At 40.4% G+C, this 18,745-nt stretch overlaps 1 long non-coding RNA gene across 1 annotated transcript in view; it reads right to left on the bottom strand.

The window, feature by feature from the left end:
* LOC105379340 (uncharacterized) overlaps window positions 1-11,511 on the bottom strand; it is a 39,195-nt gene extending 27,684 nt beyond the window's left edge. The window contains exons 1-2 of the long non-coding RNA XR_949607.3: window positions 11,394-11,511; window positions 11,058-11,201 (exon numbers count right to left, since the gene is read on the bottom strand). This is a non-coding gene — a long non-coding RNA (uncharacterized LOC105379340). The remainder of the gene's footprint in view (window positions 1-11,057; window positions 11,202-11,393) is intronic.
* Between the last annotated feature and the right edge of the window lie 7,234 nt (window positions 11,512-18,745).

The raw sequence follows: 18,745 nt of genomic DNA, 5'->3' as shown, positions 1-18,745 counted from the left end.
TTTGAAAACCGTCTTGAGATACTGATCTTAGGACAAAGGGAAAAGATAAGAAACAGTCTCACTTAGATGCAGGTCTTTTTTTGGAATTTTGCTGATTACTTCCCTAATGGAAGTACTAGAACCTTTGGTAGACTTTGGATCTCGCTCCTTATATTAAGAATAAATGCGTTTTTTTTTTTTAAAGAAGTGCAGGGAATGAAATTTTCATGCTATAGCTGTTGGGAGCCGAGGATGTGCTCTAGATTTCTCTGTCAATTACTCTTGTACCAGGAAGGATATGGCTGTACCAGTCAGCAGTCTAGGAACACCTGCTTATTATGGGCTTTCTGGGAGAGGAGTCAAGTGGTTAAGTGTTCTTTCTTCTATATGGCTTGCTTTCTTGGTTCATACAATCTCTTTCCCCATTTAGACAGCTATTTCTTGTTTTGGAATTTGTTTCATATGGCTAGGGAATAGAAAAACATTTCTTTTCCTCCATTTAAGCCACATTGGGAACCAAGGTGAGATACAGGTGGAGGGGCATGGGGCAGCCCTTAGACCAACCTTTCATATAAACCAGTGCTTTTCAAAGTGTAGTCTACAGAACGCTGTTGGTGGGGGGACTTTCCGAAACCCTTTCAGAAGGATCTGTTAAATAAAACTATTTTCAGTATATACCAAGAAATTTTTTATCTTTTCCAATGTGTTGACATATGCACGGAATGGATTTGTTGCCAATGATGCAATTCAAACTATCAACAGAATATTTAGACATTAGAAAAATGGAATTTTGCAAACCTTACATCCATCACTGTTAGCCTGACAGCTGCCCAACATTAAACACATTTCTGATGAGACCAGAAGTGATAATAACAAATGTGATTTTTTGTTACTGTAATATGGAAATGTGTCAACATTTGGAAGACATGCATAACTTAGTGAATCAATATTTTCCAAACAACTACTGTGTGATGGTCTGAAATCAAACATGAGTAAAAGATCCATGCAAAATGCAAGATAGACCATGGATGTTAAGCCACATTAATGAGCAAAAAGTTAATTGACCCAATTTTATATCTTTTTTTGCCTTAAGAAATTACTATTTGTTGAACTTTTGTGTAGCAGTAATAATATCCAGAATTATCTAAAAAAATTTATAAACTTCTTTATTTTCCAATTAAATATATGATTTTTTTTCATATAGCTTAACTAAAACAACATATTGCAACAGATTGAATGCAGAAGCAAATATGAGATTCTAGGTGTCTTCCAGCCAGACATTAGAAAGATTTGCAAAAATGTTAAACAATGCCATTGTCCTCACTAATTATTTTTGTTTTAGAATCTGTTCTCATATTTGATAAAAATGTGTTATGTATGTTTATATATGTGATGGGTTTATTGTTATTTTTAAATGAATCACTACATATTAAGAATGTTATTAGTTCTAATTTCTAGTATGGTAAATATTGACAAATATAGCTCTCATAAACAAAAGCTTTTAGGGGCTGTGAATCAATTGTTAAGAATGCAGAGAAGTCCCGAGGCCAAAAAGTTTTATAAGCCACTGATCTAGGTTATGGATACTGGTCCATCATGGCTTGGGGCTGATCCTTGGGTTTGGGCCCCAAAGAGGATTTCTTTGCTTGTAATGTCCCCTGTATAGGTAACCATGTGTCAGTAAATACCAGTTAGGACACCAAAATAGTTCATGACCTTTCAGAACCATCTGTTGGTTCAAGGTACATGGCCTTGAATTCAGAAGCATCTGTTTAGAAGCACCAGGTAAATCAAAACTTGCCACAACTGTGTGGGAGTTTAACTGGGGCTCAATCCCTTGCTTTTTTTTTTTTTTTAATAACCAGGGTTTTGGTTAATTCCCTCATGGGCTCCTGAACCAAAGGACCTGAAATGAAATATATCTGCAGGCTGAAGATGGTTTCTTCTCATGAAGAGCTGGAATTAGGACTAAATTTGATATGTGAAATTGGGTTGAAACATTTAATTACTGCCTCTAATTGTTTTAACAAATTCAACAAAGGGTAACCTTTGTTCCTATGCAAGTGCCTTTCAAAAGTCAGATGGTAAGTTCCGCATTTAGACTTGACCCCCTATCTTGGCTTGACAATCTGTCAAGGGTTCATGAAATCCACTCCCTTGAAATCCAGAGGGCACTTAAGCTTCCAAAGCACAATATCCACAGGCACTTGCTGACATGTTTTTCCGTAGTCTCCCTCATTGGGGTGAAGTTTGCAAAACAAGTATTTCAGTTTGCCCTGTCACATGATAGCCCCCAAAGGGAATCATCATGTAACTTCAGAGGGCTGGAAAAAAGCAGTCATCCCTGCCGTGCATGATATGAAGGTGGACTCCCTGCTGGGAAGGACTGAGGCACTCTCGGCATAGGGTGGGGGCTCTCTGAAGGCTGTGCTTGTTTAAGTTTAAACTGTCCCCTCTTTTGGGTGGTTTCTCCTTTGACTTGCATCATCTCCACTGCTTGCAGTTGCTGAAGTTTCCTGAGAAAGTGCATAATGGCGTTTTCTGGGCTTACCCTTACTCCAGAGAGGCACTTGTGTCTCCAAACTCACATCTTGGGCAAGAGGCTCTGTGGAGTCCTCCTGGGTCCTTCAGGTCCCCAGGTGACAGCTGGGCCATTCCTGGAGATCTTGGGATGATGAAGAGGGAGCTTGAGGGATGAACTGCCCAGGATTTTGACGGATCCTATGAGCACCACACACCCAGCCCACTAGGTTGGTGCCACTGTGCCTCCATTTGGAAGGCTGAATCATTCAGATCTAGCCCCAGATCATGGTGAAATAGAAAAAAGTATTAAAGTGAGTGGCTAGGGTCTACGCTCACTTTTGCTGTAACAGCTGAGTGATGTTGGGCAACTCATACCACCTCTCTGAGCACATTGTCTCATCTGCAAATGGGTGAATTGGGCTCACATCCCTAAAATTCCTTCTGGCTTGGGCATTCATGAGACCATTTCCCAGCTACAGTGGGGAATGGCCCTCAAGAGAATAAATAGGTGCAAGAAATCACTTTTCTGGCTTCTTCCAATAGCCCTAGTCCTGGTGTGTTTTCCTATGAGGAAGGAAAAGCCATCACTCCCAGCAGCCCCAACATGGGCATCTAGTGGGCAATGTGTTGGAGTACATAGGGAGAACAGCTGGTAGCAGATTTTCCTGGTGGAATAATAAAGCTCCAGGGATTTCTGTGCGCCTGACACCCTTCAATGTGCTTTGGGTGAGTAACTCAATAAAGCCTCACATTAAGCCTTTGAGGTAGAGACTGTCTACCATCCCCATTTTACAGACGGAAAAAGTGAGGCACAGACATGTTAAGTGGCTTCTCCAGCATTACACAATGAGAGATGGGAAGAGCTAAAATTCAAAGCCAACCAGTCTAGCTTCTGAGTCTAGACTCTTAACCACAACTACCCCAATCTCCTGTTTCTCATCTGTCTTCTCAAGTCACTCCTGCTTTGGCTGCATGTTTAGAATCTCCTAGGCCTGGCCCTCATACATGTGGATGCCAATTGAATGTCTTCCCAAATTGGAACCCCATCACTGGTCTTTGCCCTCCCCATGTCACAGCCCATGGGTGACAAATGTTCTGCCAACACATGTATCTACACATCATCTATTACTCAGGTCTTTTGTCATTTAGGATAAGAATTAGCCACTGGCCTACATGTAGGGATAGCTTTGACTCCACCCTTAGCCCCACCCAACTTACAGCATCAATTTTGGGCGGAATGGGGTTATCCCTTTCAAATAAAACATTTTTGTGTGTGTGTGATGAAAAAATGTAACTCCAAAGCCTAAGAGAGGAGGGTAATCAGCATGTACAGAGATTAAAGGGCTATGATTAATATATTAAGTCCTATGCACTGGCTGTCATTCCTACAGGCCAGTATAATAACACAGTCATACTCAGGTAGTTTCTGGCTCTCACTCACTAAATCATCACATAATTCATTGGTCTGACTTTTCTTATTCCACGTTTGACCTCTTTTTGTTACATAAGCATTGATGATGTTGAGCTGAGATCATTCCTTCTAATCTTTCACTCCATATTCACCCTCTTCTCTGCCTGTATGATTGTCAATATATTTTCTCTCAATTAGATTACTCTTTACTGGAGAGCCGTGGAAGCACTGTGTCACAGACACTCTTACAGGCTGTCAGAAATCATTTCCTATCTAGATTATGGGTTTGAAAACACCCCCATTTCAGAGATTAAAATGTTTGGCTATTTTGGAAATGAAAGTAGCCTCAGAAAAATTAATGTGAGATTGCTCCCAATGTCACAATGCCAGTGCATTGAAAGAATGCATTTTGAAAGGAAATGAATTTTGAAAATGTCACAATGCATTTTTGAAAGAAACATATAGGATGTTTTAAAGGAAGGTTCATTTTATTTTTCCTGATTGTAGACTGTCCTGTAATTTAGAGAAAAAACAGTGGAGAAGACTTTTGTTTTCGTCGTTGCATGAGTACCTGATGGCAAGAGCCTTGGGCATCCCCATTGTGCTCGTTCGTCACCTCATTCAGCATTATTATTATTATTATTTTTATTTCGTTTTTTTTTTTTTTGTTTTTTGTTGTTGTTGTTTGTTTTTTGAGATGGAGGCTTGCTCTGTCACCCAGGCTGGAGTGCAGTGGCACAATTTCGGTTCACTACAACCTCTGCCTCCCAGGTTCAAGCGATTCTCCTGCCGCAGCCTCCCAAGTAGCTGGGACTACAGGTACCTGCCACCACGCCTGGCTAATTTTTGTATTTTTAGTAGAGATGGGGTTTCACCATCTATAGAACTTCTGACCTCAGGTGATCCACCCACTTCAGCCTCCCAAAGTGCTGGGATTACAGGTGTGAGCCACCGCACCCAGCCTCAGCATTATTCTTTTCCAGTAATTCTCAATAGGGGGGAAGTGTGTTCCCTCAATCAGGGGGAATTTGGAAATTTCTGTGCTGTTTGAGTGGTTTGTCACAATGACAGAAGGAGTGCTACCGGCATTTAGAGTTGGGGTGGGTGGTGTGGGATCAGTTCTATAATGTCCCAGGAAGTCTTTTTTTTTTAAAGGCTTTATTGAGATATAATCCACATACCATATAATTCACACACTTAAAGTGTACAATTCAATGGCTTTTAGCTGTGCAGCCAATCAATCAATTTTAGAACATTTTCAGTATCACAAGAATAATAACCATTATTATGCCCCATTTCTCCCCTTATTCCCAGCTCTAGGTGACCACAGATCTACTGTCTTTTTCTATAGATTTGTCTTTTTGTACATTTCACATAAATGGAGTCATACAATAGGTGGTCTTTTGTGACTGGCTTCTTTCACTTAGTGTAATGTTTTCAAAATTCATCCATGTTGTAGCATGTATCAGCATTGTATTTCTTTTTATTGCAGAATAATATTCTATTGCATGGATATACCACATTTTTTTTTATCCAATCTTCAGTTAATGGACTTTGGGATAGTTTCCATTTTTTGACTCTCTTTAATGCTATGTATATTATGAACATGCATGTGAAGTTTTTGTGTAGACACATGGTTTCATTTCTCTGGGGTATGTTCCTAGGAGGATAATTGCTAGGTCATGTGGTAACTCTATGTTTAACATTTTGAGGAGCTGCCAGGCTGTTTTCTAAAGCAGCTACACTGTTTTGCATGCCCACTAGCAGTCCACGAGGGTTCTGATTTCTCCATATTCTCTCCGACACTTGTTATTGTGTTTCTTTTACTATAGCCATCCTAGTGGATATAAAGTGGTATCCCATTGTGGATTTGATTTGCATTTCCCAGATGGCTCATGATGTTGAATGTCTTTTCATGTGAAAATTGGCCATTTGTGTATATTCTTTAAAGAAAAATCTATTTAGGTCCTGTGTCCATTTCTAAATTTGGGTTATTTGCCTTTTTGTTATTAAATAGTAAGACACCTTTATACATTCTAGATACAAGCCCCTTATCAGATATATAGTTTATAAAATTTTTCTGTCATTCTGTTTTTTTTTGTTTTTACTTTCTTGATGGTATCCTTTGAAGTATAAAAGTTTTTAATTTTTGATGATACAAAGGCAGTCTGAACAATAAATTCTCCCCCCAGAATGCCAATAGCACAAGCACTATAAAAGGTCAGGCTAAAGGTAGATGATTTATGTTAGTTTCAAACCAATGGTTTTGATGCTTACTGATTTCTGTATATCCACAAAAGTCTATTTTGCCTTTTCCTTTTTAAAAATATAACTCATATTTGGAGTGAGACTTTTCAACTAAAATATTTTGTTTATATTACTCAGCAGAGAACAGCTCAGATATAAGTGAACTTGTTTTTTGCCCCCTTGCCATATTTTATTTCTTACTAAACATCAGGCTTGAAATGGATGAGATTGATGTTTAGCTGGGAAGTGTTACATTATGATTATATCCTAACATTTTTAGATCACATGGTGTGCTTGTCTGTGTATGTGCCAAAGTCCAGAGACATGAAAAAAACATGGTATTTAGAGAAAATAAGAAATTCAACATTCCTAAGCATTGCCCATTTGAGTAGTGGGGGCAGGTAGTAAAATGGAGGTCTGAGTAGGGGAGGAGAGGAAAAACTATGAGAAGAGAAAAAGGAAAGTAAAAGAGAATGAATAAATATGGAGAAGAAGAAAAGAAGGAAGTGGGAGGAAGAAGAAATGGTAGGACAGGAAGAAACAGAAAAATAGAAAAGACAGAAAGACCTCTCAGGCATGGTCTAGGGGCATCTTGGGCACCTTCCTCAATCTCTGCTCACTGCCTACCTTCCCATCGCTGGGAGAGGATCCACAGTACCCTGTGTAAATCTCTAACCAGTATTTACCATCCAGCATGATATAGCGAGGATGCTGTATTAATTCATTTTCACACTGCTGATAAAGACATACCAGAGACTGGGTACTTTATAAAGAAAAAGAGGTTTAATGGGCTCACAGTTCTGCGTGGCTCGGGAGGCCTCACAATCATGGCGGAAGGTGGAAGTCATGTCATACATGGTGGCAGACAAGAGAGAATGAGAGCCAAGTGAAACAGGTTTCCCCTCACAAAACCGTCAGATCTAGTGAGACTTATTCACTACCATGATAACAATATGGGGGAAACTGACCCCATGATTCAATTACCTCCCACCAGGTCCCTCCCAAACACATGGGAATTATGGGAGCTACAATTCAAGATGAGATTTGGGTGGGGACACAGCCAAACCATATCAGATGCCTCTCTTCTCCCTTTAATGTGTATTGGAAGGCACAGAGTGTGGCTTTTATACCTGTCCTCAGCCCTAGTATAGTGCATGGGCACAGTAGACCTGAGGCATTATAGGTGTAAGAGCAACTGCAGTCCATGAGCTGTGGTATTACTTGTAACTGCCCCCAAGGGATCTGGATCCTGCGGGAGGCATGGCTGGCTTTCGAGAGCTGAGCTTATCACTCAGGACCCAGCCACATCCTGGCATGGATTTGTTCTCTCCCAGTTATGACTGCACTTTAAATGGGAAGTGTTAGAGTAGAATTTTAAAAATTGGAGTTTAATTGAAAGTCAAGAGTCTGTTAAATGTGTTTAAAGGAAGGGTAAAAGATAGGCAGGTGGGTGAAATAGAAAACCATTTACAATTTCCTTGTGTGTGACCCAATCGCAGTATGCATGAGGGCAATCATACAATACGTTAGTGATCTCTGGTCAACACAACCAACTAATCAAAAAATAAAAAGGAAAGAATGAGAGGACTTGTTCCTTAACAGCTTTACCTATGTCCCAAGTTTTAAGCCACTGTTACAGGCCACCTGACACCCCTGATGGGTTTGTAATTATCTTGTGAAGTCTTCAAAGTCTTTCTTTAGACAATTCTATAGCCACTTCTTTCTTTAGACACTTCTTATTGTGAAATGATGATGTCAAAATAAATCCAGCAACCATAATCCCCCAGGAACGGAGTCCTGGGAAAGATGCTGACATCTCCATTTCAAAGAAAGTAAGAATGTGGGAAGTCCATCCATGGAAATGTTCCCACAAGAGATTAGCCACTGGATATGCATTTCGTATTTTGTTATTTATACTAATATTTCCCATCAACACAAAATGTAACTGCTTCTGGTTATTATTGCTACTTTCAGATATCATTTCCTACAAAGGAGCCTAATTTAGATAAAGCCAGGCAAGGCATGAATGCCTCTGTTCAGGCAGGCCAGCATGGAGGATGTGGGAAGTGACAGCCCAGCTGTTATCCAGTGGAGCTTAATTATTGCCATTTATGCACATGCTGTGTGAGCAGCCTAATCAGCTTCGGGCATGGACTTGTCACAACTCAATGTCTAGATTCTTCTCCATCTACGCAGCAAGAAGCAGTTATCATCCCTCACAGGACAGCCTCTTACTGGTTGCTCGTGTCCTGGCTTCATTGCTCTGTTGATTGTAAGACTGTCGATCAGTGTTTGGAATCACCGCTCCATTCAACAGAGCTGCTTAGAAGTCAATCAAGAGCATATTTTCAATTTAATTACACCTGCCCTTGCCCAATGTGTAAAAAGGGTGGTGGATTAGTTCTTTCCTCTTTAGTAAAGAATTTTTCATAAAAATGACACCAGTATCATGGTATGTATGTGTATGTGTGTGTATAAATGTGTGTGTGTGAGTGTGTGTGTGTGTGTGTGTCAGGGTTTTCCAGAGAAACAGAACCATCTCTCTCCAGAGAGAGAGAGAGGGAGAGAGGCGGAGGGGGGAGACTTATTATAGGAATTTGCTCATGTGATTTTGGAGGCTGCGAAGTCCCAAGATCTGCCACCTGCAAGCAGGTGAATGAGGAAGCTGGTGGTGTAATTCAGACTGAGTCTGAAGGCCCAGGACCAAGGAGCCCTTGGTCAACGGTGGGCATCCCATTGTCCCAGTGCAAGGCCTGAGGGCTGAAGAAGAGGGAGGAGAAGAGGAGGAGGAGGTTTGTGATGTTGCAAGTCTCTGAAGGGCTGGAAAACAGGATCTCAGATGTCAGAGGGCAGGAGAAGATGGATGCCCCAGCTCAAGGAGAGAGAGGCCAAATTTCTAATTCACCCTGCCTCTGCCTTTTTGCTGTATTTGGGTCCTCATCACACTAGGTGATGTCCACCCACATTGGTGGGGATGATCTTCTTTACTTAGTTTACCAATTCCAATGCTAATCTCTTCCAGAAACACCATCACAGACACATCCAGAAATTATGTTTTACCTGGGTTATCTGGGTATCCCTTAGCCCAGTCACACTGACACAAAAAGTAACCATCAATATATATATGTGTGTGTACATATATTGGTAAACATATATATGTGTATATATACATATACATATATGTGTGTGTGTATGTGTATATATATATATATATTTGATCTCAGCAAGTCATACTTCCATTATTATTGCAACTTATTACTTTGCATATTTAAGCCCAAGTGGAGGGAAAACATAACAGAGAGCTCAGAACAACTAGGATCCCTCAACTCAAGGCATTTAACAAATTTCCAGCATGTGGGAAATGTGGGCAGTGAGTTGGGCAGTCTTAGATGAAGAGAGTAGGTCCCCATGAATGGGCTGGGATCCCTCTTAGATCTTCTATTTCTGCATCAGTAAAAGCATTTCAATTGTCAAAAGAATATAAGTGTGATACCTCATAGTAATAGAGACACATGATATGCAATCTCTCTTTTATCTTTTATAGAATTATTATGTTAAACTCCAAGTTCTTTTTCTGTCACTTGAGAAACAGTGGCACAGCTAGTAATTTCAGCGCCCTGGCTAATTTAATTTGTATCCCATAACCTGCAGCTCTTACCTTTGAGTCTTTTACTCCCTTCACCCATATAATCTGTTTCAGTAAAAAGCACATAATATACACACTTAACTCATGGGAATTTAATTACCCACTTGTGGAGGGAAACCTGCAATGGTAATTTCCATTGTCATGCTCCTCAGTGAGCTGATGCCCACAACACCTCCCTTGCCAAATATACAATGAGAGGTTTAATCTACTCTTCCCTAAATGGTTTCAGCTCCTATTTGTCTCTTGTAGCATCAATGTGATTTTAGTGTTTAGATGTACATTTTAAAATATAATATTACCTCTAAAGCCAGGCATGGTGGCTCGTACCTGTAATCCTAGCACTTTGGGAGACTGTGGTGGGAAAATAGCTTGAGCCCAGGAGTTTGAGACCAGCCTGGGCAACATGACAAAACCTTATCTCTACAAAAACTACAAAAAGTTAGCAGGGCATGGTGGCATATGCCTGTAGTCCCAGCTACTTGGGAGGCTAAGGTGGGAGGATCACCAGAGCCTGGGGAGGTCAAGGCTGCAGTGAGCCATGATCTCGCCACTGCACTCCAGCCTGGGCAACACAGTGAGACCCCTTCTCAATAACTAGCTAACTAACTAAATAAAATATGATATAACCTTTAAATAGAAACCAAATACTTTGGTGGTCAACTTAAGTTCTATTGTTGAAAGAAAAACGGACTTTTTTGGACCTATGAAGAATTGGAAAATCAGTCTCCTCCCTAGTTATGCATACTCTCCTTTTTAGCTACTTAAGGGCTCTTCGAGAATATTTTTCTACAGCCTACCAGCCTACGTGTTATCTTTTGCTGTAGACTTTGGAACGTGACCCTGTGTAATGTGTAACTGTGGCATGGACAATTGAGCCAAGATCCTTTCATTCCTTGCTTTCAGTCATGCCTGTAACTTTATCAGATAACAAGTCTTGATAGAATTCTCTTTTTTTATTTTTTTAATTTTAATTTTTTAGTTTTTGAGACGGAGTCTTGCTCTCTTACCCAGGCTGGAGTGCAGTGGTGTGATCTTGGCTCACTGCAACCTCCGCCTCCTGGGTTGAAGCGATTTTCCTGTCTCAGCCTCCCGAGTAGCTGGGACTATAGGCGTATGTCACCAAGCCCAGCTAATTTTTGTATTTTTAGTAGAGACGGGGTTTTACCATGTTATCCACGCTGGCCTATGCTTTGGAAAAATATGAATGTTTGCTGTTGCTAACCTTTTTATGTTCGGTCTAAATTTACTCACCACAACAAGATTTTCCTCTGGTGTGCGCCATGAGGGTCGTGGAGTTACGAAGTGTGAGCGAGAGGACACCAAGCCCTTTTTACAATCCCCGTAGGATGGTGACTCGTCCAGTGTCCCACAGCAAAGTGCAGGCAGATCAAAGACCTTTGTTAAAACAGATAGATTATACATTAGCCACATTCCACTGAATAGGATTGAATTCCATGTCATACCATTGAAAAAGTAGTTTTTGAAATTAAACTAACGTTACTACTCAAGGGAGAGCGTCTCATAAAGAATGAGCTGGGACAGCAAGGTTCTGATGAAGGCAGAAAAGTCCAGAACAACAAAACGCACAAAGAGAAAAGGTCTTCGCAAAGAGCCGCACGGAGGGATCTGGTCTTTGGGGATGGCAGGGGGTCAGGGTCTTCTCCAGAGACACTAGACATTCAGGACCTGTCCAGAGAAGGCTATGTCCCGGGGGAAAGGGCAAATGGGGGAACAGGCTAGTGTTCACAAAGACTGAAGAACAGCCTGGTATCATCCCAGCTCCTGATTGGATAAAAGTAAAATTTCTCATCCTACCTGCCTGCTGGAAGAAAGATAAACCCTCCTCGAAGTAAGATAATATATTACCATCCAGAGCCTCTATAGTTTTTCACACATAATGCCCAGCACTCAAAAAAAAATTTACCTGGCATGCCAAGACACAGAACAATATATTAGAAAAAAAGGAGAGAAAAGGCAATATGTACAAACCCATAGGTGATCTAGATATTGGAATGATCAGAAGTAGATTTTGTAATAACCATGATTAACATATTCAAGGAAAAGATGGCAAGATGGAAAATTTCACCGCAGACCTTGAACCTATAAAATAATCTAGAACTTAAAAATACTATAACTAAAATTAGAAATTCAATCGTGGGTTTAAAAGCAGATTAGACATTGCTGAAAAGAGAACTAGAGGAATGGTCAGTAGAAAACAAACAGACTGAAACTCTGAGAAAGTCGAAAGGATATAAAATAGAAAGAGGGTGTAAGAGACACATGGAACCCAAAGAAAGTGCTTGTGTGATTTTAATACCAGATGGAGAGAGAGCACATAGGGCAGAAGCAATATTTGAAGACAATTAGCTGAGATGTTCCCCAAATTGATGACAGACTCAAGTCACAGATTTGATAAGTGCAACAAATCCAAAGAAGTGTGACAGAGGAAATCCATACCTGGGCCCCAAGCAGTAAAATGGTTAAAGTTGAAAGACAAAAAAAGTCTTAACAGGAGACAGAGAGAAAATGACCTATAAACCTCAAAGTGCAGGTGACTTTTCAACACCAACAACTCAAGCCAGGACACCATGGAATGACATCTTAAGCATTGAAAGAAGTCACTGCCTATGCAGAATTATATCCAGTTAAAATGCTTTTCAAAATGAAGAAAAAATAGAGAAGACATTCCAGATGAACAAAAACTAAAAGAATTTGTCACTAGCAGAATTGCATGGAAAGAAAAACTAAAGGTTGTCTTCATGCTTTCCAGGTAGGCAGCATGGAAATTTAGGAAGATATAAAGAGCAATAAAATATGTAAGTATATACAAATGAATATTTACTATATAAGACACTGACAACAATATCTTGTGGGGTTTAAATACATGCAGAATAAAGACACATTATCAATAACACAAAAAGTTTAGGTTGTGGTAAATAAAGAATTCTATGATCCTTTTATTCAGAGAGGTGATAAATGCATGAATTTATACTATAATATATAAGTCAGAGATGTATGTTGCATCCTCTAGGGTGCAGATTAAAATAACATAGAATTAATGAGTGAATGGAGAAAAAAATAATAAAAATAATTAATCAAAAAAGGATAAGAAAGAAATAAAAAACAAAGGAACAAAGAAAAAATGGGAACAAAGTAAGATGACAGATTTTTTTACTCCAAATATTAATTGCCTTAAGTTTAACTGACAAAATACTCTCATTATAGATAAACAAAAATCAAAGATTGTCAGACTAGATTTTTAAAAACTATCTAAATGCTGCTTACAAGAAGCTCTCTTTAAATATGAGAATATGGAAGGCAAGGAAATTCAAAGTGTTGGTAAGAAAGATTCAAATGATAGGTTATAGAATTTAAGCAAAATAAAGAACGGATTAAACACAAAAAAGCCTACAAATAGGGAGGAAATAGATCAGACGTTCTGCCTTGGCCACACATTAAAATTACATGGGACAGTTTTTGGTGGTTTGTTTGTTTTTAACTAAACTTATTTTGACATAATTGTAGGGTCATATGCAGTTATAAGAAATAATACAGAGAGTTCTTGTGTACCCTTTACCCAATTTCCCTAATAGTAACATCTTACGACACTGATGTTGCACAGAACATTTCTATCAGCTCAGTAATCCCTCAAGCTGTCCTTTTATGGCCATTCTCATTTCCTTCCTGCCCCCATCATCTCTTTGACCCTGAGCAATCTGTTCTCCATTTCTGTAATTTATCATTTCAACAATGCTATGTAAATAGAACCATATATTTTTTAAATTGGTTTTTGCATTCCGTGTAATTCCCCGGAGATTCTTCTGGGTTGTTGCGTGTGTCTACAGTAGCTCCTTCTATTGCTGAGTGGTAGTCCATATGGGTGTGCCACAGCTTGTTTAACTGTTCACCCACTAAGGGACATCTTAGTTGTTTCCAATTCTTCCTTATTAAGAATAAAACTGTTATAAACATCTGTGTATGGGTTTTTTTTGTGAACAAGACTTTTTATTTTTCAGGGGAAAATGGAAGAGTACCACTGCTTAGTTATATGGTAGTTGCATGTATTTAAAGAAATTGTTAAACTGTTTTCCAGTGTTGCTGTATCATTTTATATTCCCATAATATGTTAAGAAATATATTCCCAATGTTTCTTACATTTCTTTACATCCTAGGAACAAATTATCATAGGCTAATGAATTGGTGCTCTGAGTGGCCAATCTTGGGTTATGTATGTGCGTGACCCTGGGAGGAGGAAGTTCAGTTCCATCCCAGCTACATGGCCTAAGGCTCCTCAATATAAAAATAACAGCTACGAAAATTCATACTTGATTACCTACAAGATACCAGGTAGTGTTTTAAGCACTTATAGATGATATGGTTTGGTTCTGTGTCCCCACCCAAATCTCATCTCGAATTGTAATCCCCACAAGTAGAGGGAGGGCGTGGTGGGAGGTGATTGGATCATGGGGGAAGTTTCCCCCATGCTGTTCTCGTGACAGTGAGTGAGTTCTCATGAGATCTGATGGTTTAGAAGTGTGGCACTTCCCCCACCTCCGCCATCTTGTGAAGAAGGTGCTTGCTTTTCTTTCTTATTCTGCCATGATTATAAGTTTCCTGAGTGAGGCCTCCCCAGCCATGCAGAACTGTGAGTCAATTAAACCTCCTTTCCTGATAAATTACCCAGCTTCAGGTGGTTTTTTTTTCTTTTTTTTTTTTTAGAGGGAGTCTCCCTCTTTCACCCAGGCTGGAGTGCAGTGGTGCGATCTTGGCTCACTGCAACCTCTGCCTCCTGGGTTCAAGTGATTCTCCTGCCTCAGCCTCCCAAGTAGCTGGCATTACAAGTGTGTGCCACCATGCCCAGCTAATTTTTGTATTTTTAGTAGAGATGGGGTTTCATTATATTGGCCAGGGTGGTCTCGATCTTCTGACCTCATGATCCGCCCACCTCAGCCTCCCAAAGCGCTGGGATTACAGGCGTGAGACCCCGCGCCCAGCCTCAGGCAGTTCTTTATAGCAGTGTGAAAACGGACTAAAGCAATTGAATTGCTCCTTTCATCCTCTCAGCAATATAGGTGCTATAGCTCTATTGTACAGATGAAGCACCTGAGTCCCCAGGATTAACTAACTTGCCTAAAGTTTCACTTTAGTACCGGCAGACAAAATTCCAAGTCCGCTAGCCCAGCTGCAGAACTGTGTTCTTCTCCACTCCACTGTGCCTCCCCCAAACAAGGGAGAACGGTGACTGGGCAGGTAAAATTAATAAATTCATAAGAAGGTCCTTCTTGTTTGGGGGTTGTCATCCCTTTGTCAACTATTTTTACTTTTCCTTTGAAACATGTTCCTTTCAAGCATTTCTCCCACCCTCCACCCATTAGAATTTCACATAATCTCCTTGCATGAGCCTAGAAATGCTGTTGCCCTCACTCTTGCAGGGGTAGTGGTGGGAAAGCAGATGCTGACACAAGACGGATTCCCTACCCCTTATTAGGTCACTCTCATAAAGAAAAAGGAGGACATTTTGGGAGGCTGAGGCAGCAGGATTGCTTGTGGCCAGGAGTTTGAGACCAGCCTGGGTAACATAGCCAGATATTGTCTCTACAAAAGAAATAAAAATAAATTAGACAAGCATGGTGGCACATACCTGTAGTCTCAGCCACTCAAGAGGCTGACATGGGAGGATTGCTTGAGCCCAGGAGTTTGAGGCTGCAGTGAGCTATGATTGTGTCACTGCACTCCAGCCTGGGAGACAGAGAGAGACCTTATCTCTAAAAATAAAATAAAACAAGAAGAAGGAGGAGGAGACCTCAAAGCAGAAGGCAAGCTCTGCAGTCTCTCTGGATTCTCTACATTAATATAGCCTCTCAGATTTCAGTGAGAATGAATATTCTCTTCCAGTGGGACAGCAGCTGTCTAGCAAGGTGGCTGCTCTCTCACTCCCAGCATGTGCTGGCTCAGGCTCGGATGGAACAGCATTATTTTCTGCTTGACTTTCAGATGACCCATGCACAGCGCACTGTCAACACCTCTTGAAGGGCTGGCATAAGCTTTATTCATTCATTCCATTGACTTTGCTTTGCTTGGGTGCCAGCACAATTCAGTTCCAAGGAGCAGCATCAAGCATTCACCAAGCATGGATTGGAATCAATGATTTGAATGTTTAAATTTTCCAAAAATCAATAAAGACATTCATCTTCACATAAGGGTAACAAAACTTCCCTCTAGGAGCTATACAGGGGGGCCTGGAGAAAGGAAGTAAGGGTTCCAGAGTGATCTTCAGCCTTCTCAAATCTCCCTTGCAGGGGCATTGGAGATGGGAGGAGGCTTTAAGAGAGGAGGAAGGTGATGGACAGATAAAGGTGGAAAAAAAGGAACACTAGAGAAGAGAATTCAAGTAGGGCATGGTTGGCTGAAGACAGACAGGGAAGTCCACTAATTCTGATCTTTTTGTTCTCTCCTTTCACTGTCAAACCTCATCACAGTCACATTTCCTGAGCTGATAATTTGGACATAAATTCATACCCATGATCTGACAGTGGAATGGGCTATTTGAGCTTGGGTTTCTTTTGGAAATAGAGGGTAGGTATATGGTTGACATACTCATGACCCCCCATTTGTGTTTTCTTTACTCTCTTCTTATGAGGGACAAATTGTATGTAAATTATTTATGTTTGTTACTATAGATGCAGATATGGCAACAGCTAAAATGTGCCCACTGGTGAGGTTCTTATAGAAAGAGGTTTTTCACATTTTACAGGCTGAAATAGCATTTCATTATCACATCACAGATCCATCTAACTGTTCTTTATTATAACTCTGAAGCATCATTTTAGTGACTAAAATGCACACTTATTAGATTTCAGTCCCATCGTACATGATTCTAACCAATATTCAGCACTAGTCCTTTTTTGTTTTCTTGGCAGTATTTTTTTGGAGGGAGAACCCAAAGAATCAATTGACTCCACAAAAGGCAATGTCAGAGCACAATGATTTTTTTTACTTCCTGCAATTAAGGTAAATTTAACCCTTTCCTGAATATAAACCATTTAAAAAGTATGCTGCATCTAGGCTGAAGATTGGAAATAATGTAGGAGGCGGGATTTGACTCCAGAGGCTTGGCTCGGACACCAGAACGGATTGAGGACTAGCTAAAACAGGGCCAAGGCAAAGCAGCTTTTAATCAGACATGCCCATCAGTGTGCCATGTCAATTTACCGTTGCCATGGCAACACTGGGGCGTTACAGCCCCTTTGCATGGCAATGACCCAATGACCCAAAAGTTATTACCCTTTCCCTAGATATTTCTACATAAACCACCCTTTAGTCTGCATGCAATTAAAAGTCAGCATAAATACGACTGCAAAAGTGCTCTGAGCTGCTACTCTCTGCCCATGGGGTAACCCTGCTCTGCAGAAGTAGTCACCAAGCTGTAACACTTCAATAAGGCTGTTTTCTTCTGCCTCTGCCTTGCCCTTGAATTCTTTCCTGGGCCAAGCCAGAAACCCAGTGGGCTAAGCTCCACTTTGGGGTTTGCCTGACCTGCATCAGAAATACCTGATGGAAGTGGGAATCTATTCTTATTTTTAAAAAATATTTATTTATTTTTATCAAACGAATACATGTACATTTTTTTTTTTGAGGCGGAGTTTCACTCTTGTTGCCCAGGCTGGAGTGCAATGGCGTGATCTTGGCTCACAGCAACCTCTGCCTCCGAGGTTCAAGCGATTCTCCTGCCTCAGCCTCCCTAGTAGCTGGGATTACAGGCATTCCCCACCACGCCGGGCTAATTTTTTTTTTTTTTTTTTTTAAGTAGAGACGGGGTTTCTCCATGTTGGTCAGGCTGGTCTCGAATTCCTGACCTTAGGTGATCTGCCGGCCTCAGCCTCCCAAAGTGCTGGGATTACAGGCATGAGCCACTGCGCCCAGCCTACATGTACATATTTTTGTAAGCTGAATAGTAGCAAAGTGTTTACAATGACAAAAGAGCAGCCTCCTAAGCCTTTCTTTCCCACCCTAGATGTCTACTTCCTAGAGGCAACCACTGTATATACATTTAGTTTGATTAATCTAAATACACACTTAAATTAGTATTTCTTGTATTTTCAGTTTTCTATCATCAAAACTATCTGGTGACTTCTAATGATGGAAGTCAAGGATTTCAAATTTTTTCACCATGTCACACACACACACGCACAGATATCCTCATGGCGGAATTCTAGCACATTTCTGCTTAGATCAAGACTCGGCGTATGCAATATTGTGAAAATGTAAATATTGCTCCCTGATGAGCTAAGTAGGATATTTTGTTCACATTTCTGTGTCAACTTCTTATTTCCCAAAGCAGATTTCTTTGGATTTTTTTTTTCTTGGCTTTGTTAGAATTTCTTGCTGTTTGTATATCCTCCATCAACAATGCAAAATACTACTTGATCCAATTTTTCACACAATGTCACCAGTTCCCACCCATCCCCATCTTTTTTCCCCCCGATGTCATCCCTTCTGGAGCCCTCTGCCTTCATTTCTAATGTGGACTAGCTTTCCTCTCTTGACCACTTCCCAGTTGTAGTCCTGGGACCTCCCTTTGCAATTCATCTGGGAATTCCCATTGCCCTTCCCCTGCATTGGATCACCTATTTTATGCATCCCTTGGCTTATCTTGGTTTAAGGTGATACTAACTGCTATTTAATATAACAAATATATCTCAAAATGTATTGGCTGAATGCAGTAGAAGTTTATTCCCATCTAACAGCCTGATGCAAGAATTGAGTGTGTCTTTCACAAAGTGGCTGATGTGCAGCAACTCTCTTCATCTTGTCGTTCTCCTGTCCTTTAGGGTCTTGATGTATTTTGCTTTCAGCCTGTAGAAAGAGAAGACAGGATTGTATCTGGGAGGATTTTATTCCATTGGCTAGAACTCAATTGATCAAAACAGAGAATTTTC

Source organism: Homo sapiens, chromosome 8, assembly GCF_000001405.40.
Source record: "Homo sapiens chromosome 8, GRCh38.p14 Primary Assembly".
Lineage (NCBI taxonomy): Eukaryota > Metazoa > Chordata > Mammalia > Primates > Hominidae > Homo > Homo sapiens.
The sequence above is the reverse complement of the archived record's forward strand: the minus strand, read 5'-3'. Positions and strand labels throughout refer to the sequence as shown.